This window comes from Homo sapiens, chromosome 3 (assembly GCF_000001405.40).
Source record: "Homo sapiens chromosome 3, GRCh38.p14 Primary Assembly".
Taxonomy (NCBI): Eukaryota; Metazoa; Chordata; class Mammalia; order Primates; family Hominidae; genus Homo; species Homo sapiens.
The window spans coordinates 74,822,310-74,844,304 of NC_000003.12; the positions used below are offsets into that span (position 1 = coordinate 74,822,310).

General features: G+C 38.2%; 1 long non-coding RNA gene across 3 annotated transcripts in view; it reads left to right on the top strand.

Moving 5' to 3' along the window:
- Positions 1 to 2,899: 2,899 nt before the first annotated feature.
- The window catches only part of LOC105377167 (uncharacterized), a 60,528-nt gene continuing 41,432 nt past the window's right edge, over positions 2,900 to 21,995 (top strand). For all 3 annotated transcript variants that reach the window (XR_940970.3, XR_940972.2, XR_001740758.1), the window contains exon 1: positions 2,900 to 3,458. This is a non-coding gene — a long non-coding RNA (uncharacterized LOC105377167). The remainder of the gene's footprint in view (positions 3,459 to 21,995) is intronic.

Genomic DNA, 21,995 nt, shown 5'->3' on the forward strand with positions numbered 1-21,995 from the left:
GCTCCAGTTATAGGTGCATATTTGTTTAGAACTGTGATATTTTATTGTTGGACAAGGCCTTTTATCATTACATAATGTCCCTCTTTGTTTCATTTAACTGCTGTTGCTTTAAAGTTTGCTTTGTCTGATATAAGAATAGCTAACCCTTCTCATTTTTGGTCTCCATTTGCATGAAATGCCTTTTTGCACCCTGTTACTTTAATTTTATGTGAGTCTTTATTTGCTAGGTGAGTCTCCTGAAGGCAGCAGATAGTTGGTTGGTGAGTTCTTATCCATTCTGTGTTTCTCTATCTTTTAAGTGGAGCATTTAGATCATTTGCATTCAATGTTAGTATTGAAATGTGAGGTACAATTGCATTCATTGTGATCTTTGTTGCCTGCGTACTTTTTTTTTTTTCTGTTTTCTTTTTAACTTGATTTTTGTTTTATAGGTCCCTTGTGATTTATGCTTTAAAGAGGTTCTGTTTTGATGTGTTTCAAGGATTTGTTTCAAGATTTAGAGCTCCTTTTACAATTCTTGTAGTTGTGGCTTGCTAATGGCAAATTCTCTCAGCATTTGTTTGTCTGAAAAAGACTCTATCTTTTCTTCATGTATGATGCCTAGTTTCACTGGATACAAAATTCTTGGCTGATAATTGTTTTGTTTGAGGAGGCTAAAGATAGGGCCCCAATCCCTTCTAGCTTGTAGGGTTTCTGCTGAGAAATCTGCTGTTAATCTGATAGATTTTCCTTTATAGGTGACCCAGTGCTTCTGTCTCACAGCTCTTAAGATTCTTTCCTTCATCTTAACTTTGGATAACCTGATGACAATGTGCCTAGGTGAAGATTTTCTTTTCTTTTTTTCTTTTTTTGAGATGGAGTCTTGCTCTGTTGCTTAGGCTGGAGTGCAGTGGTGGGATCTTGGCTCACTGCAACCTCTACCTCCCCAGTTCAAGCAATTCTCCTGCCTCAGCCTCCCAAGTAGCTGGAGTTACAGGTGTGTACCACCATGCCTGGCTAATTTTTGTATTTTTAGTAAAGACGAGGTTTTACCATGTTGGCCAGGCTGGTCTTGACCTCTTGACTGCAAATGATCTAATTTCCCAGGAGTTCTCTGTGCTTCTTGTATTTGGATGTCTAGATCTCTAGCAAAGGTGGTGAAGTTTTCCTCGCTTATTCCCCCAATTATATTTTCCAAGCTTTTAGAACTCTCTTCTTCCTCAGGAACACTGATTATTCTTAGGTTTGGTCATTTAACATAATCCCAGACTTCTTGGAGGCTTTGTTTATATTTTCTTATTCTTTTTTATTTGTTTTTCTTGGATTGGGTTAATCTGAAGACCTTGTCTTCGAGCTCTGAATCTCCTACTTCTAATTTCTTATTTCTAAAAGTGTGTTCAAAGTTTCCTGATTTTTTGATTTTTTTTCTTTAAGCTATCTATTTCCTTGAATACTTCTCCCTTCACTACTTGTATCATATTTTGGATTTTCTTGCATTGGGTTTCGCCTTTCTCTTCTCACTCCCTGATTATCTTAGTAACTAACCTTCTGAATTCTTTTTGGTGTTTCTTCTTGGTTAGGATCCATTCATGGTGAACTAGTGTGATTTTTTGGTGGTGTTGAAGAGCCTTGTTTTGCCATATCATGAGCGTTGGTTTTCCAGTTCCTTCTCACTGGAGTAGCCCCTGTCAAAGGGAAGGCCTGGGGCTGAAGGTTGTTGTTCAGATTCTTTTGTCCCACGAGGTGTTCCCTTGATGTATTACTCACCCTTTTCCTATGGATGTGGCTTCATGTGAGCTAAACTGCAGGGACTGTTGTCTCTCCTCTGGGTCTAGCCACCCACCTAGTGAGTCTGTCTGGCTTCTGGCTGTTACTGGGGGTTGTCTGCACAGAGTCCTGTGATGTGAACCATCTATGGGTCTCTCAGCTGTGGATACCAGTGCTTGTTCTGGTGGGGGTGGGAGGGGTGCATTGCACTCTGTGAGTGCTCTTAGCTTTGGTGGTTTAATGCTCTATTTTTGTGCTGCTCGGCCTCCTGCCAGGAGGTAGAGCTTTCCAGAGAGCATCAGCTATGGTATTATGGGGAGGAATTGGTGGTGGGTGGGACCCTAGAACTCCCAAGATTATATGGCCTTTGTCTTCAGGAACCAGGGTGGGTAGGGAAGGATTATCAGCGGGGGGCAGGGCTGGCTGTGTCTGAGCTCAGACTCTCCTTGGGCAGGTCTTCCTGTGGCTGCTGTGGGGAATGGGGGTGAGATTCCCAGGTCACTGGAGTTGTGTACCTAGGAGGATTTTGCCTGCCTCTGATGAGTCATACAGGTTGCCTGGAAAGTGGGAGAAAGCCAGCAGTCACAGACCTCACCCAGCTCCCACACAAACTGACCTGCCGGTCTCAATCCCACTGTGTACCCTGTAAGAGCCCCCATACCATTTCCAGGCGGAGGGCAATACGGGCTTGAAACACTGCCCCTGGCTATCTGCCTCCCCGCTGAGAATAAAAAGGCCCTGGTTCTTCCTCCACCTGTGGAGTTTGCACACAGGATTTGCACCCTGCCCCAAGTTCTGGCCAGGAGGTTTCTCACCCCATTCAAATTGTTTCAAAGTTCAGCTAGAGATTTCCTTGTCCCTGTGTAGTTTTACCCCTGCTCCTCTCCCGTTGGATTCCTGTGGTGCCAGGCAGGAATGGGCTGTTAGGGGACCCAGCGAGCCCCCAGAGCCTTTCTGCTGCTTCCTCTGAGGGAAGAGAGAGACCCTCATATATTCTTTTATATTGTTTTATACTCAGTACCTGTTTTAACAAAAAACAACGAGGAAGTAAAACCAAAGACAGGCAGCCCGGCGCCAGGCCTGAAACCAGGCCTGGGCCTGCCTGGCCTAAACCCAGTAGTTAAAAATCAACTCATAACTTAGAAACTGATGTTATTCATAGATTCCAGACATTGTATAGAAGAACATTGTGAAACTCCCTGTCCTGTTCTGTTTCTCTCTGACCACCGGTACATGCAGCCCCTGTCATGTACCGCCTGCTTGCTCAAATCAATCACGACCCTTTCATGTGAAATCTTTAGTGTTATGAGCCCTTAAAAGGGACAGAAATTGTGCATTCGGGGAGCTTGGATTTTAAGGCAGTACCTTGCCAATGCTCCCAGCTGAATAAAGCCCTTCCTTCTACAACTAGGTGTCTGAGAGGTTTTGTCTGCGACTCGTCCTGCTACATTTCTTGGTTCCCTGACCAGGAAGCGAGGTGACTGACGGACGGCCGAGGCAGCCCCTTAGGTGGCTTAAGCCTGCCCTGTGGAGCATCCCTGAGGGGGACTCTGGCCAGCCTGAGTGATGTGGTCCGAAGAGCGCTTGGGTAGGAAATTGCCCCTGTGGAATGCCTCGTCAGAGCAGCGCATAGCAGGCCCCCACGGAGGATTAACACAGTGGCTGAACACTGGGAAGGAACTGGCCCTTGGAGTCCAGACATCTGAAACTTGGTAAGACTAGTCTTTGGAACATGCCCCACTCCATCTGAGTGGAAGCGTGGCCTGATCACCCACGGTGTGCCTGTATTGGCACCTTTGTTCTGGTTTTGACTTGACTTGAGTTGCTGGATACTTTGATTTCGGTTTTTGACCTGGCTTGAATTTCTGGATACTCTGATTTTGGTTTTGATTTTGGTTTGGTGTAAACTGCAAAAGTGTGTGTGTGCCCTTTTACCTGTTCTTTGTTTTGTGGTGTGTGTGTGGTGTGAGCGTGGTGTTTTGTCTTGAAAAAACATAGGTCAGATGCAAAGTAAGCACACCCCAATGGGAACTATGTTAAAGAATTTCAAGAAAGGATTTAATGGAGACTATGGAGTCACTATGACTCCAGGAACACTTAGAAGTTTGTGTGAAATAGACTGGCCAGCATTAGAGGTAGGTTAGCCATCAGAAGGAAGCCTAGATAGGTCTTTGGTTTCTAAGGTATGGCAAAAGGTAACCTGTAAGCCAAGGCACCCAGACCAGGTTCCATACATAGACAGTTACAGCTGGTTTTAGACCCCTTTCCCCCCACGGTAGTTAAGAGAACAGCAGCATAAGTGGCTGGCAGAGACAAGGAAAGACCAGCAGAGAGAAGAAAAAAAAAAAAAAGCCATCTATACCAATTGTAAGTTAATTTAGACGAAACAAGATCTTATTATTAGCAAAGGATAATTGAAATCCCAAACTTACAAGGTTTTCAACAAATGTGAAGTTTGCTAAAAGTTAACAGTGTAACATGTATTATGATAACTTCTAATCTTGTGGCCTTAGACAGTCTAGTCCAAAGACATAAAGAATGTTTGCTTTAAAAAAAAAAAAGGTTGGGGGAGGCAGAATTTACATATAAAAAAAGTTATATGGTAAATTCTTGTCCCGAAATAAATTAACTGGTTGTTTAAAGAAAAAAATGTTTATAATAAGTCAAAAATTGAGACATGTTAAAAAAATTGTCCGTGAAAGTCGTGAAAGAAAAAATGTTATAAAAAAATTTTATGCAAAAAATGTTGTATAATTTAAAAGTGATAAGGCCTCCTGAGTACTATTGAAGAAAGTTTATGTGCAAGGTGTATAAAAAAAAGTAAAATATACCTTTGGTAAAAAGATTATAAGGAGGCATAAGAATGTGGATTTTTACCTACATTAAAAGGTTAAAAAAATTATTGTTTTGAAAGTTTAAGCAAGTTTTAAAATGTTAATTGTAAAGAAAATTCTGTGTATAAACATATTAGCTAAAGTTAAAAAGGTATCACCCAGTTTTTCTGTGAACTGGACATTAAAGTAAAAATGCAACAGGTTTTTTTTCTTAAAGCATCAACCTGCTCTTTAACAAAAATTATAAAAGGTTAAAAAGAGTCTATAAAATCTTACCTTATGGTCAAACATGAAAAATTGGATAAATATGTCTACAAGGTTTTCTTAAAATTAAGTTTAACATTAATAACACTAATATAAAGGTAAAATTTAGCTTATCTGGTATAAAAATCATACAAGAAGCATTATTAAACATAAAATGGTGTTTAGCTTTCTTTGGTCTAAAAACTAATAAAAATTGGTGCTAAAGGAAACATTCATTTTACTAGAGGATCATAGAAGTTAAAGACTTAAAACAAACTTTGGCAATGAAGAGAGCATACCAAGATGCAAATGCCTGGTTGAAATGGATCAAATATTCCATCTGCACGTTAAACAAAAGCAATTGTTATGCTTGTGCACATGGCAGGCCAGAGGCCCTGATTGTCCCCCTTCCACTAAGGTGGTCCTCCAGTCGACCAGGTGTGGGCTGCATGGTAGCTCTTTTCTAGGATTCTACAGCCTGGAGTAATAAGTCATGCCAAGCTCTCTCTGCTATATCCTGAAGTCCCTGTGGGTCAGCCCCTGAGGGCCATCCAGTTTCCGTCTCCCAACACTAAGTTCACTTCATGTCTCTGATGGCAGGGAGGAGACAGCATTCCTTGGAGACCTGAAAGGATGCGGGGAGCTTAAAAATTTTCAAGAGCTTATCAATCAGTCAGCTCTTGTTCATCCCCGAGCAGATGTGTGGTAGTATTGTGGTGGACCTTTACTGGGCACTCTGCTGAATAACTAGAGTGGCAATTGTGCTTTAGCCCATTTGGCTATCCCTTTCACCCTGGCATTTCATCAACCAGAGGTAAATATATATATATAAATAAAGACATCATAAAGTGAGAGAAGGCCCTTATAGGTCTTTCAACTCTCACATCTATTTAGATGCAATTGGAACCCTGCAAGGAATACCAGATCAATTTAAAGCTTGAAATCAAATAGTTACAAGATTTAAGTCAATATTTTAGTAGACGACAGTCAATAAAAATGTATTAGATAAACTACATCTATTACAACCAACAGCAATGAGCTTTTCATGAGTTTAAAAGAAAAACTCATGTCGGTCCCAGCCCTGAAGCTACCTGACCTGACAAAACTCTTTACACTCTATATGTCAGAAAGAGAAAAAATAGCGGTTGGAGTTTTAACCCAGACTGTAGGGCCCTGGCCAAGGCCAGTGGCCTATCTCTCAAAACAACTAGACAGGGTTTCCAAAGGCTGGCCCCCATGTCCAAGGGCCCTGGCAGCAACTGCCCTGTTAGCACAAGAAGCCATAAGCTAACTCTTAGGCAAAACCTAAACATAAAGTCTCCCCATGCTGTGGTGATTTTAATAAATACCAAAGGACATCATTAGCTAATAAATGCTAGACTAACTAGATACCAAAGCTTGCTCTGTGAAAATCCCTGCATAACCATTGAAGTTTGCAACACCCTAACCCTGCCACCTTACTCCTGGTATCAGAGAGCCCAGTTAAACATAACTGTTTAGAGGTGCTGGACTCAGTTTATTCTAGTAGGCCCAACCTCCGAGACCATCCTTAAACATCAGTAGACTGAGAGCTGTACGTGGATAGGAGCAGCTTCGCCAACCCCTGCAAAGTGACTCTGAAGAAGACGACAAGCCCTGCTCCAGTCACACCCGGAAGCTGACTGGTCCATGTGTAGCCGAAGCATGAGGAAACTCATTGCAGGACTCATTTTCCTTAAAATTTAGACTTGAACAGTAAGGACTTCAACTGACCTTCCTCAGACTGAGAACTGTTTCCAGTATATACATCAAGTCACTGAGGTAGGACAAAAGATTGCTACATTCCTATTATTTTATGGCTATTATAAGTGTACCAGGACTCTAAAAGAAACTTGTTTGTATAATGCTATTCTATCCAAGGTATGTAGCCCAGGAAATAACCAACCTGATGCGTGTTATGACCCATTTTAAGCCTCCCATGATCACAGTTTTTAAAATAAAATTAAGGACTGGTCCTTTTCTAAGTGACACAAGAAAGGTAATAGCTAGAACAGAAGAAAGAGGGGTCCCCAAAAATGTAACCTTAAAATTTGATGCTTGTGCCACTATTAATAGCAAACAGCATAGGATAAGATGTGGTTCTCTAGATTAAGAAAAAAGTTACACAGCAGAAAATAAGTACATCTTTCAAAAATCATATTTATGTGAGATGTGTCAATACTGGTCTTGTGTCATTTAGGCTACTTGGAAAGAAGATTTAAAAAATCCTGTTTGACTCCAAATAAAGAAAAGTCAGCCCCTCCTGCATGAGTGGGAGCTGCAACCCTTTAGAATTAATAATCACAAACCCCTCAGACCCAAAGTAAAATTAAAAAATATATATGTAACATTAGGCATTAATGGAAAAGGACTAGATGCTAGTGTAAGCATCCTAATAAAAGGAGAAGTTCAAAAATGCTCTCCAGAACCAGTACTTCAGACTTTCTATGATGAACTAAATGTGCCAGTACCAGAGACTCCAGGAAAAACCAGAAATTTGTTTTTGCAATTAGCCGAGCATATAGCCCAGTCTCTAAATGCCACTCCATGTTATGTTTGTGGAAAAACTGTAATAAGAGATCAATGGCCATAAGAAGCCTGAGAATTAGTTCCTACAGACCCAGTTCCTGATGAATTCCCAGCCCAAAAGAACCACCCTGACAATTTTTAGGTTCTAAAAGTCTCAACTATTGGGCAGTATTGCATAGATAAAGAAGGAAGATTCACTCATCCTATAGGGCGGCTTAATTGGCTTGGGCAAAAGCTGTATAATGGTACCACAAAAACAGTAACATGGTGAAGTTCCAATTACACAGAAAGAAATCCATTCAGTAAATTTCCAAAGTTGCAGACTGTTTAGGCCAACCCAGAATTCCACCGGGAATGAATGGCCCCCACCGGGTTATACTGGATATGTGGACACAGAGCTTATGCTAAGCTGCCTGATCAGTGGACAGGTAGCTGTGTAATTGCCACCATTAAGCCATCTTTCTTCTTACTGCTCATAAAAACAGGTGAACTTCTAGGCTTCCAAGTCTATGCTTCGCGGGAAAAACAAAGCATAGCCATAGGTGATTGGAAAAATAATAAATGGCCTCCTGAAAGAATCGTACAATACTATGGACTCGCCACTTGGGCACAAGATGGCTCATGGGGATATCGAACCCCCGTCTACATGCTCAACTGAATCATACAGTTACAAGCTGTTTTAAAAATTATTACTGATAAAACCGGTCAAGCCTTGACTGTTCTTGCCCAGCAAGAAACTCTGATGAGAAATGCTATCTATCAAAATAGACTAGCTCTTGACTACTTGTTAGCAGCTGAAGGAGGAGTTTGTGGAAAATTTAACCTTACTAATTGTTGTCTAACACATAGATGATCAAGGACAAGTAGTTGAAGACACAGTTAAAGATATAACAAAACTGGCACATGTACCCGTGCAAGTGTAGCACGGATTCAACCCTGAAGCCGTGTTTAGAAGGTGGTTCCCAGCACTAGGAAGATTTAAAACTCTTATAATAGGAGTTATAATAATAATAAAAACCTGCTTACTGCTCCCTTGTTTACTACCTGTACTTCTTCAAATGATAAAAAGCTTCATCGCTACCTTAGTTCACCAAAATGCTTCAGCACAAGTGTACTATATGAATCACTATTAATCTATTGAACAAAAAGACATAAGTAAGAAAAATAAGAGTGAAAACTCCCACTAATAAAAAGTGAGAGTCTCAAAAGGGGGGAATGAGGGAAGAGAGAGACCCTCTTATATTGTTTTATGTTATTTTATACTCATTACCTGTTTTAAGAAAAAACAACAAGGAAGTAAAACCAAAGACAGGCAGCCCAGTGCCAGGCCTGAAACTGATGTTATTCATAGATTCTAGACATTGTATAGAAAACATTGTGAAACTCCCTTTCCTGTTCTGTTTCTCTCTGACCACCGGTACATGCAGCCCCTGTCATGTACCGCCTGCCTGCTCAAATCTATCAAGACCCTTTCATGTGAAATCTTTAGTGTTGTGAGCCCTTAAAAGGGACATAAATCGTGCATTCGGGGAGCTCAGATTTTAAGGCAGTAGCTTGCCGATGCTCTCAGCTGAATAAAGCCCTTCCTTGTACAACTCGGTGTCTGAGAGGTTTTGTCTGTGGCTCGACCTGCTACACCTCTACCCCTGGATTTTGCTGGGCTCTCCAAATTGACTCAGCTACAGGTAAAGTCAGAAACGTCTCCCAGAAACAGAACTTCAGCTTCTCCAGTGGGGGTGTGCGTTCGGGAGAGGACGGTCTCCCTTTCCCACTTCTGCAGTTGGGGTACTCACAGTTTTGGGGGGTCCCCTGGGTCCTGCATGAGTCTGTGGACTTCCTTTAGAGGGTCTGTGGGTCCTCTTGAACCTTAGACTCTTTCTTAACACAGTGACTTGGACATTTGAACAAAGCTGGCACATGAGATGAAATGCTTCTGCTGTTCCTAGCACAAGACTGCACATTAAATTGCCTTTTTCTTGTTGTAGGTATTTTGCCTGGAAATAATCACCATGCTGTTTGAACCAATATCTATTCTCAATATTATAACACAAACTCTTGTCATCAACTTACCTCATTTTGAGACCTTACAGTAAGGAGGGAAGCTATACAAGCTCTTTTCTTCCTCCTGTTATCGTTTAGTAGAAGCTGAATGTAACAGCCATGAGGCAGAGATGAGGAAAGTTAGTGGAGACTACTTACAGAGACCCCAGTCAGGGTCTAGCCTGTCCTTCCTTATTCGTTTTATAAGATTAGTCAGCTGGAGTGGATTTGAATAGAAGAGGCTTGGCCCTTATGATTCTTTTGTTCTGAAATAGTTCTAATCTCTATGACCAGCTCATATCTTTGTATTTGTAACTGATGCCCTTTTGCCCTATCCAGCCCTCTGGGATCACTCATCGTGGTGTGCCTGCCAAAGTCTCCTGTTTGCATTCTCATTCATAGAGTTATCCTTGAGCAATAGAAACTGCTTCCTGGGGGAGTGAGGTTCCTCCATCATCAACTCCCCTGAACAATTCACCCAGACCAGTGATTAACCGGTACAGAGGATACAAAAGCCCAGCTACTTTGCCTCAAAGGCAAGAGAGTTCACTGTGCAATTTGCATTCTCTCTTTCCTTTGGGATCAAACAGGCTAGACATCACTTGAAACCACATCCCGACTTAGTCTTTCCCTTTCTCCCTCAACGAATTTCTTGTTTGAGAGTCTCCATCTCAGGCTTTGCTTCTAGGGACTCTGACCTAAGACAATATCCAAATTTTATTTTTATGTTTAAAACCCAGTACAAATGGCACTTTTTCAGCAAATCTTTCACTGATTGCACAGAAGCAAATCATTGCTTCCTCTCTTTGAACTGTGTACATTCCATGAATTGTAGCTATTAATAATGTGGTTTTGCTCCTCACTGGGGTGGATGTCTCTCAAGGCTAGGGTAGAGTTGATATCCTTAGTCCCTTATCTGCCTCTCCTACTTCTTCCTATGCATCTCTATCTCTTGGTCTTTCTCTTTCTCTCTCTCCTCCAGACCTCAGTTCTCTCTTTTAAGTGTGAGCTTTTTTTTGACTCTGTACTTTTGTTTTTGCTATTTCCCGTGCCTAGAACCCTTTTCCCCTCTGTATTCCTCACAATGCTGATTCACACTCGAGGTCTACCCTTAAGTCACCTCCCAGATGTGCTTTCTCTGACTGCCCACCCTGTGCTAACTGCCCTGCTAAATTCTCTTCTGTTGTACTTCATCTGTATTAGTGTCCCAGAGCTGCCATAATAGTACCACACATAGGTGGCTTATGCAACAGAAATTCATTTTTTCACAGTTCTGGAGCCCAGCAGTCTGAAATCAAGATGTTGGCGAGGTTATGTTCTAAGAGCTCCGGGGGAGGAGGCTTCTTTATCTCTTCCTAGCTCCTGGTGGTCAGTGGTTGTCAGCAATCCTTGACTTTCATTGGCTGGTAGACACGTCACTCAGATCCGTACCTGTTTTTACTCGACGTTCTTTACTGTGTGTTAAGTGTCTCTGTGCTGGAATGTCCCCTTTCTTATAAGGCCAAGAGTCACATTGGATTTGGGACCCAACCTAATTCAGGATGTTTGAATTAAGTGCAACTTGATTAGATGCAAAGGAACTAATTTTAAATAGGGTCATATCCCAGGTTCTGGATGGACATGAATTTTTAGGCGGACATTCTTCAACCTAGAATACCTTCGTAATATTTACCACAATCTTTATTTGTGGGGATTAATCTCCTATTTGTGTTTTGATTGTCTCTTTGCTCATGTCATGTTCATAGTTGTATCACCGGCCTCTAGGTGAGGACCAGATGCTCAGGAGGCACTTGAATGCTGGTTGAATGAAAGAGGGAAAACATTTTTCACACAAAGGCACAAATTCCTGGGACAAAATTATTATACCTGCTAGTTAAATATGCCAGTAGGGAATGATGCAATGCCTACAAAAGGGAAGGACCAGTTTCAATCATAATACACTGAAAGTGACGTTTACAAATCATTTATCAGCTTTCTCTTATACATCATTCAAGAGGTGAATCTTTTGTTTGGAACTCAATTTTCCTTTGCATACATTAAAAATATATGTATATGTACAGTAATATGTTGCTTAACAATGGGGATATGTTCTGAGAAATGCATCTTTAGGTGATTTTGTCTTTTTGTGATCGTAGGGTGTCCTTACACAAACCTATATGATATGGCCCACTGCACACCTAGGCTATATGGTATAGCCTATTACTTCTAGGATACAACCCTAGATAGGATGTTACTGTACTGAATACTGTAGGCAATTGTAACACAATGGTAGGCATTTGTGTATCTGAATATAGAAAATGTACAGTAAATATACAGTATAAAATATGAAAAATAGTACACCTGCATAGGGCATTTACTATGAATGGAGTTTTCAGGACTGGAAGATACTCTGGGTGAGGCAGTGAGTAAATGGTGAGTGAACATGAAGAGCTAAGACATTACTGAAGACTACTACAGACTTTGTAAAGACAGTATACTTGGGCTACACCAAATTTATTTAAAAATTATTTGTTCATTAATAAATTAACCTTAGGTTACTGTAACTTTTTTACTTTATAAACTTTTGAATATTTTTAACTTTACTCTTTTGATAACACTTGGCTTAAAACACAAATATTGTAAAGCTGTATGAAAGTATTTTCTTTAACCTTATTTGATAAGCCTTTTTCTGTTTTTAATTTTTTTTAATTTTTTTGTCAAAAACAAAGCCACAAACACATACATTAGCCTAGGCCTGCACAGGGTCAGAATCATCAATATTATCATCTTCCACCTCCACTTCTTGTCCCACTGGAAGGTCCTCAGGGGCAAAAGCATGCATGGGGCTGTCATCTCCTATGACAATGCCTTCTTCTGGAATACCCCTTGAAAGACCTGGCTGAGACTGTTTTACAGTTAACTTTTATTTTTTTTAATAAGCAGAAAGAATGTACTCTCAATAACAATAAAAAGTACAGTATAGTAAATGTGTAAACACTAACATCATCATTTACCATCATTATCAAGTATTACGTACTGTACGTAATTGTATGTGCCATACTTTCATATCATTGGCAATGCAGTAGGTTTGCATATGTCTGTGTCACTAAAAACACATGAGTAATGTGCTGCACTATGATGTTAGGATGGCTAAGATGTCACCAGGGGATAGGAATTGTTCAGCTCCATTTTTTTTTTATGGGACTATCATTGTATATTCAGTCTGCTCTTGAATGAAATGTTGTTATGGGATACATGACTATAATGTAAATTATATAGATGATAAATAGATAGACATAGATCAATAGATATTATGGTAGGATTTAACTAGGAGAATTATGGTCAGCTCAAACATCATAGGGCTTTATAATGCATAACCATCATATTCAATCTACTTTGAATATGAACTCTTTTGGAGAATGTATCTTTTTATTTCAACAGATAAAATGATTGCATAAATAGATATGGGCTGCAATTCTCAATAACAATGAGATATATGCAGAAGCTCAATAGGGCTAGTGCTAATGAGAAAAAAATAAACAAAAATCTTTGCTTATAAATGATGTTTCAAATATTAATTTTAATTAACTTTATAGCATTCAATATATGGTATGGTACATTAGCTTCTAAGTTTTATTTTGGTTATTTTGGTTAGGTTTTGTTTTTTTTAGAAACAGTTATAAGCCCAAATAGGGTAGTCAGTTTTGTTAAGCTGTGTACTACAGGGAATGACCAGAATTAACCACATGGATTCAATTAGCAGTTCCCAAAATAGCCACTGCATGTGTATTTCTCAGTACTTTGGGGTAATGGTCAAGTTGTATAGCTATCGAACCCTGGGTATAGCTTGTGACCATTGACAAGTTACATAACCTGTCTTTAAATTGGTTTCCTCTTTCCTAAACTGGGAGTAATATTGGTACTTAACTCAAAGAGTTATTGTGAGGATTTAATGAGTTACCATATGCAAAAGTGTTAAAAATGGTGCCCGGTAGTAATCCAAGCCCAATAAAAAGCTATTTTTATTATTATATGGTATTGCTGATAATTAGAAGTTATTTCTGAGAGTGCAAAAACCCTTTCTCTTAAGGTAGGATGGCTTTGGATGTCCATTTGGATGAGACTTTTTTTGTTTGTTTGTTTTTAATTATTTCTCTTTTTCTCCAACTAATTGAATTCAATTATTGGTGTTTATTGAATGTCATTTCAGAAATTTGGTCTGCATTTTGGTTGTTAAATAATGGTTTTAACTGAGTGGGAAGAACAAAGGATAATTGTTATTTTCTTCTGGTATACAGCTCTCAAGAGTTTGGGGTTTTTGAGGTTTGCCATGGTACATCAATAGAATATCAAATGACAGGATAAGACCTAGAAGACAAATGTAAAATTCCAAAATGCATGCTGTGGATGAATGTAGCAATATGAGATGAGTACTATTTGGGGTGAGTATATTTAGGAAATTCTAATTTAGGAACTTATTATTATTATTATTTATGAAAAACTCCTTTTTTCCCCCGAGTCAGATTTAGTCTGCAATGTATCCTGACCACAATGGCTTAGGATATAACCTGTATCCAATAATCTTACTCTAAAATCTGCTGGCCAGCAGCCTCTGCCTCAATGATGTTATTCTGAGATCTCATAGCTACTGAGTGAGATACTTGAAAGCATAGCAGAAAGCATCTTACAGTGTTATCAATTCTGTTCTCTCCATCTGGAGCTAGCCTAAAGGTTGATTATATTAGAATATTTTAGTAGAATATTAAATTGGCACAAATCATTTTGATTGGACATTTTAATATTCTGGCAGCTATTATTTACTTCTTGTATTTTTCGGTGTTCTATTCTCTTAAACTACAAAGATGAAGAGGTGTTTATTCTTACAATGTGGAAAATATCAGCGTAATCACTGCTAATCTATTTCTTCCTGTCACCCATTGGTTTTCTTTCAAACAGTATTTTTGTATATTCTTTTCTTTCTGTTCTCATGACAATATATTGTGTGCTAAGCTTTTCCTACCATGTTACAATGTAACATGATAGCAAATCATCTTAGATTTACTCACTAGAGCAAATTTATTTATTTTATGACATTTACAATGGCAATTTATTACATTTATCTGTTCTATTTTTGAAATTTCTTACTAGCAGGAAATTTTAAAATTTATCTGCAAGGATTAAAAAAACTTCAGAATCCTCTCACAATGAATGCTATCCCAGAAGTGAAAGTAAATTTGTTTGACTAATCTAACACAAAATCCTAGGAATAGGTCTGTCAGGCATGGCTGGAACCAAGTACTGTGAGGATATCATTGTTACCTGGTGTATTAGTCAGGGCTCTCTAGAGGGAAAGAACTCATGGAATTACGGAATTTTATATATATATATATATGAGCTTATTAAGTATCCGCTCAAGGATCACAAGGTCCCACAATAGGCCATCTGCAGGCTGAGGAGCAAGGAGAGCCAGTTCAGGTTCCAAAACTGAAGAACTTGGAGTCTGATGTTCAAGGACAGGAAGCATCAAGCATAGGAGGAAAATGTAGGCTGGGAAGTTAGGCCAGTCTCTCTTTTCACATTTTGCTACCTGCTTGTATTCAAGCTGCACTGGTAGCTGATTAGATTATGCCCCCCAAGACTAAGGGGGTGTCTGCCTTTCCCAGCCCACTGACTCAGATATTGATCTCCTTTGGCAGCACCCTCACAGACACACCCAGGATCAATACTTTGTATCCTTCAATCCAATCAAGTTGACACTCAGTATTAACCATCACACCTCGTTTCTTTCTTTTTATTTTTCAACTCTGCTAAGTCATTGTTGGAATCATGTAGTCAGAATCAACAGGCTTCCATACTGTCAAGTGCAAGTCTTTTAAAAAGGAGACATTGTGGCTTTCTCATCAGCTTGACAAGGTCTTGGGTCTGATTCACATCAGCCCAGTGGATGTTTTGCCTAGTAATAGGTATCATTTGAAATGCTGGACTTTGTTCAAATACCCACTACAAAAGCTTCATCTTTCAGATTATTATGACTTTCCTCATTGAAGTTGTTGGATTTCTAATAGCTATCCAATAATTCTAGATTGACTTTAAGTCCAGAACTGGACAGAAACAGTCAACAAAGGCTTGACCAATAGTAAAATGTACTATACTATTTCAGAAATACCATGGGCCATTTGTTTATCCCAATATTCTGATTTTAAAAATTATGACCCTATGTTTTTGCATTTTCTATGTCATAAATATGTTTATAATTTTAATGAAAATCAGAAGCTATTTCTTGACTGCTAAAAATGCTCAATATGTGTGTTTCACCACAATATAGTCCATGAGATTCTGATTAGGCTTTGGATTCAGACTTCTGGGAGTCAAGTTTCAGCTCCCAAATATTTGTTCTGTCAGAAAATATGGGCACAAATTTATTGGGATTAAATGATGAAATGAGACAGTGAATGAAAAGGAGAAATGTGGTGGGTATTATTTTCCTACTTAAATTTTATGCCATACTTCAAGATAATCATTTCTCCATTTTAAATATATCAATTCTTAATACTTTCTACTCTGTAACTGGTATAGATGTATCAAGTAGCAATTTGTATCAGGTCAAAAAGTTTATAATTTTAGAAGAATGTCAGTGATTGAGTGGTGTGCCATTTTCTCTATTATTTGCTATATTCTGTTTTATTCATTAAACTTCCTTTGCAATGCATTTCATTTTTTAAAATTTTGTTTTAAATTGAAGATTCTCCTATTTTAGAGCTTTGCAGCTGGTAAAATGATAGCAGAACAGACCAGGTGCTGTTTATTGGGACTTCCAGATTCTAAAAGCTGAGAAGATTAACCTTTTACCAAAGACAGTGTGCCCCAGAAATTGGTCAATAGGCCTCTTTGTTTTTCACTGAAATGTCAGGGCTCCGAAATATTTCTTTCTCTAAGCACCTGCCAAAAGTCAATGGAGAAAAAGAGGACATAAAAACAGATGGTCGACTCGTATTTATAATCTTAATGACATTGATAGTTTGTTGAAAAGTGTCTTCCTCTTCGTAAAGATTGACAGAGAAGAAAGCACTAAATGCTGGACACTGGTGGCCCATACAAAAGTTAAGCAAGACAAATATCCCTTTGTGGACTCTCTTGCCTTTTTATAATACTGTCTGTTTCTTGTGAGGAGATATATACTCCATGGGTCACTATTAAACATGTGGTATAGCTTTTACTTTCACATATTTGTGAAAAATGAAGTGAGGTCTGGTGGCTTACAAAAGCAACCTAAATTATTTGGTGAGATGGTATGATATATTTTGCTGGCGGAAGAGAGGGAATAAAACGACATTCAATCACCCCAATGATCTGTCTTATGTAACTCATCTTTATTCCTTCTCTTTTTATTATGGAAAAAGAGGGTTTTCAGAGAAATCAGACATTGATTTGTTTATTATGTGATATTAGTAAAAAGGATCAATAGTTACAACCAAAGATGTTAATAATAATAACTAAAACTTAGTATTTCATTGCTTTTAAAGCTCCCTTAAATACACACTGTAATTGGATATACTCTGCAAAATTATAAGGGCTGTGTGGTGTATATTCTTTCATTTTATAGATGAGAATACAAACTCTAAGAAAGGTTAAGTGTTTTATCTAAAGTGACCCAGATAGTCAGTGGCTGACTTGGGAACCAAATTTCATTGTTTCTATTTCTTACCCAGTGTTCTGTCTATTTTACCACATTGTTGCTCAGACACTTAAAGTGACATCTTTGTGGATGAATTAAAAATAAATTCTAAGAAATTATTTTCAAATGTGTAACAGTCATTACCCGATGTGAATATTGGCAAGCCACAATCCTTTTCTGTTTAATCTTTTAGAAGGGGATTTTTGCATATTGAACTAATAGAAATCATATTTAAGTTTATAGGACTGTGATTTCATTTATGTTTCCAAAAGCATGGTGAGCTTCACACAAAACAATTTTCCATCTTTTAAGTCTTGCTAATCCACTTTAAGCTAGGCAAAAGTCACACATCATCTCAGCTGCTGTGATCACATACAAACCACCTCCGCTAATCTCTTCAAAGGGGATTTTCCTTTGCACAGGCAGACTGCACAGCATGGGACTTACAGTTAGTACCTTGCAAAGTTTCCCAAGTTCATTTATAATTCCACTTTTATCCTGAAACTATAGCATGTAAGGTCTCCTCCAAACAATTCCAGGCCCTTTTACAGCTGTCGCTGGTTTTCTCCCTAGCTTTTTAAATAACTGATGAAGTCGATGATGCAGTCATTACAGCAAGGAGTGACTGCGATTCCTATTATTTATTTGCAGATGGAAATAGAAAACTACCCTGATATCTGACAAATTGAGTTTCCAGGATGAATCAGAAAGTATTGGTTGTTGGGTTTTCTTAGCTTGGTAAGATAAATAAATAAATAAATCTCTCCTGTGTCTCTGAATGCATTTTCCATTTTAGACAGGCATACAAAAATCCTAAGCATGATTTAGATAGCTTCTAACACATAACGAATGGCATTATAAATAAGTTTGAGTGGTTGGAAAAATATAAGCACATTAAAAACAACAATTGGGCAGAAATATGAAACTGAAAGAAGTTTGAAAATCCCAGCTTGATACAGTTCATCTTAAAATGAACAAACCTACAAAATTTACATAAATTGCAGAAAAAAAGAAATAGGTTTAATCAGTGAATTCAAGGATATTAATAAAACCTATTTTTGCTGTAAGATTTCTAATGATATTCTGTAACTATGTGATTTAATTCCTGAATTGTAGCTCAGGAAGTTTACTTTCATGTTCTTGTGTATTATAACTTCGGAAAAGTTATTTTTTAGAAACACCATTATGATTCAGTGAAACACATCCCACCTGACTCACTTCAATTCAGATGATAACTCAGTGGAGCATATTATCATTAACAGGGTGATCATATATCCCTTTGTTGTTATTTGACAAAATTTATAGGATTATAATTTCAACTTAGTGCTTCTGCTGAGGATTGGTACTTGAAATGCTGAAAAATGAGGCAGAAGCTCAGGGAACATTCTTTCTAGAGAACCTAATATTATACCACCACAATCTTTTTTTTTTTTTTTTCGTTTCTTTTTTTTTTTTTTTTTTTTTTTTTTTTTTGAGACTGAGTCTCACTCTGTTGCCAGACTGGAGTGCAGTGGAGTGATCTCGGCTCACTGCAACCACTGCCTCCTGGGTTAAAGCGATTCTCCTGCCTCAGTCTCCCAAGTAGCTGAGACTGCAGGTGCGCACTACCACGCCCAGCTAATTTTTGTATTTTTAGTAGATACGGGATTTCACCATGTTGGCCAGGATGGTCTTAATCTCTTGACCATGTGATGCTCCCACCTCACCCTCCCAAAGTGCTGGGATTATAGACGTGAGCCACTGAGCCCGGCCCACAATCTTTTATTTCTCTAAATAAATTCATTCAGAAAAAAATTTGCGAGGTAGATACCTTGGCAAAAATTCATATAAATTTTAAGGACCTTGAACCGGAAAAAGCACATATTCTTGTTTGTTTTTTTTTCTTTTTTTTTTTTTTAACATATATTGTCTATCCTAAAAGTTACATCTTGGTAAAAGAAATGACAATAATTTTTCATGATCATAATTATTGATTGCAATATTTGAAAACAGATTCCTTTCTTCCTTCCTTCCTTCCTTCCTTATAGCCCTAACAAGGAGGAGTTAAGTGGAGTCCCTACCTCAGCAAAAAAAAAAAAAAAAAAAAAAAAAAGGAAAAGGAAGAAGAAAAAGGAAACAGTAAATAACAATTATCTCATAATCTTATATTCTTAATCCGTCTTCGTCATTACCAGATTTTAGATATAGAATGAGGGATGTCAGAAATGCAGATTTTCTGAATCTTTCCATATGTAAATGACACAGAATGCTACTTTTTCTTGAAACAAATACTTTACATGTTGTAGGAGAAAAAAATGGCACAATTGCAGTTCGAGTTTCAATCACTCCACTGCTTGTTTCCTTGAAGTTTTGCCTTAGAATTAAAGAATGGAGGTGATATCTTCTGAAGCTCCTTCTAGTTCTGTAATGTTTTTGATTTTCAAATGTGAAATGAAACCAAAGATAAACATGTCCTGCTTTTAATAGGTGTTTTGTAGCAAGTGCCACAATGATTTTCCTTCCCTATCCATTTTCCTTGTTATCCACACTTACCCTCCTCTTTCCCCAGGCGCAAAAGTAACAAAATAGATAATAACTTTGCTACTCTTTACCATCCTCTCACTGTAAATTGTTATCCATTTCAGCAAATAGCTCATTGGAGAGTGAGATTACTTCCTGCAAAAAATGTAGAAGGGAGTGATTTAAAAACTCAGTTATCACTTCCTTAAGCTGAAATAATGGAAGTAGTCCCTTTAATCAGTTATCTTTTTTGTGGACATAGAATATATCACTAGTTATTTGTGTGTGTGTGTCTGTGTGAGAGAAATTATCTCTTGATAGAATAGGAGTGCCTCTTGAGTATTTCACATATTATATGCTTAGAAAACCGGGTCAGATTAGCTCAGTTACACTGCCAAGGAGAAAAGCCAAATAACAGTGGACAAATGGCATATGTTTTGTTTCAGTTTTTAGTTCACCAGCTGACAATTCCCTGGGGACAGACAACTAATCTTTTGACTTTGAGTGCATTTCTGTGGCTGCATCCCCACACATCTGTATTCTAAACTTCAAGCCCCATTAGTATGTAGAATACTAGGTAGAGCCCTGATGAAGGTTTATTTGGCACAGAAATCATCCTGTTATGCACAAGTGCATAGAATTAAAATAATAATTTCTAGTTGATTTCATGCTTCCGTAGCTTAATGGTCTCTAATGCTACCAGTAGATCCATTATACATATTTTTATACAGGAAAGATGTGGGGAAAGAAAATGTCAGCTTTTGAATAAACCTGTGTCCAAATTTAATCTAAAATGAAATTGAAAAGAAAATTGGAAATATGACTTTTAGAGGATTTACTACTTTCTCTTTTCTGAGTAATTTGATACCAAGGTATTCATAATGATCAGTGAAGTACTAAGGACAATTTTATGCTCATCTCTACACCAACATGACATCTCCCGTTTTTCCTTTAAGTGCAGTGGAATGTAATTAGCCAACAGCTTGGGGCTTGATTAAAATGTCACATTTTATAAATTTATGGTCATCTTCTGTGCCTTCCTGAAAGTGAAAGACTTAAAATTTGACTAGACCTGCATGCCAGGGAGAGGTATTCATTCATTAAGGAAAAGGGAAATGGACTCCTGGCGGGTGTTCAGGAGTTTCTATCCATTCCCTTATATTAGGCATGTAAAGGGCTTATACAAATTAAATGTGTATTATAATCATTAATTTATTTAAAAACAAAAGCTATAAAACTCATCCTCTCAATTATTTAGAATTAATATTAAAACTAATGATAAAATTAGGGTCTGATTTTTTTTTTATTGCTTCGAATCTCCTATTAAACAAACTAGAGATGGGGGTAGTAGATTGAGTTATTGGGCCTAATTTTTTAGCCTGTCCTGAATCCTTGTTTATTGCCATGAAACTCTGCAATTCTTCTAAAATCAAGAAGAGTATACTTTCTACCTCTTGACCTTTAGCTACACCGTGAGACTCACTTTGGCCAGTGGAATGTGGTAAAGTGACAGTGGCCAAATCTAGGACTTAAGGGGGTTTGCACATGACCACTGGTTCCTCTGCAATTAAATGCAAAGATCTTTCCCAGAAAAATAGTTGCCTCTTTGCTTGGAATACACTTGAGTAAGGAGTCAAGCTCAGCCAGACGTGCAAGATGTTGTAAAGTCACTCAGAGGATCTCTCCTTAGATCAGCCACTCATCATCCAGCAGACCCACAGATGTGAAGAATCATCATCCATCGTCACCACTTAAATTCCCTGGTTGTAGGTTAGGCAACGATACTTGACTGGTATAGAAATATAGAGAAAGAATATTTAGAATAAGTAAATAGCACTGCTCATGGATAACTCTTCTATACTCCAACACAAGCAAGTAAATTACTCACTTTCGGGGTAATTTAGCAGACTTTATTTTTAAAGTAATACATTTAAAACATAGGGGTGCTTAGAGCAGAAATGCCCTGCATCAAGTAATTTTTTTAAGAAGCAAGCACTCATGAGATATTAGTTGTTTTTCTGGTTGAGAAATAGGGGAGCTTATTAATTTAATACAGAATAACTTCATAATGTTATTCTACCTGTATCATATATCATTCGAGTGTCTCATTTGAAGACAATGGAATTTAGTCTTAAGCGCCAAGGGATTCATTAAGGGGCTTACATAACTTATGGAATCATTGGGAAGGCTGCAAAAACAAACTATTTTGAGCTTCTAGGAATGAGTCTCAAAACCCATTTCAGTACTGGGCCCCCAAGGTAGCCTAAGCGTGAGCCCTTACCAAGAAGTGGTTGTCCCCGCTGCCATCTCCACAACCACCTAGCCTGAGTTGGAATCACACAAGTAACACTTTTGCCTTCTTTCCCGCATAACTCAGTTTTGAATCAGAGTCTCCCTATAGTGCTTCTGATCAATAAAACATAGAGGTAGAA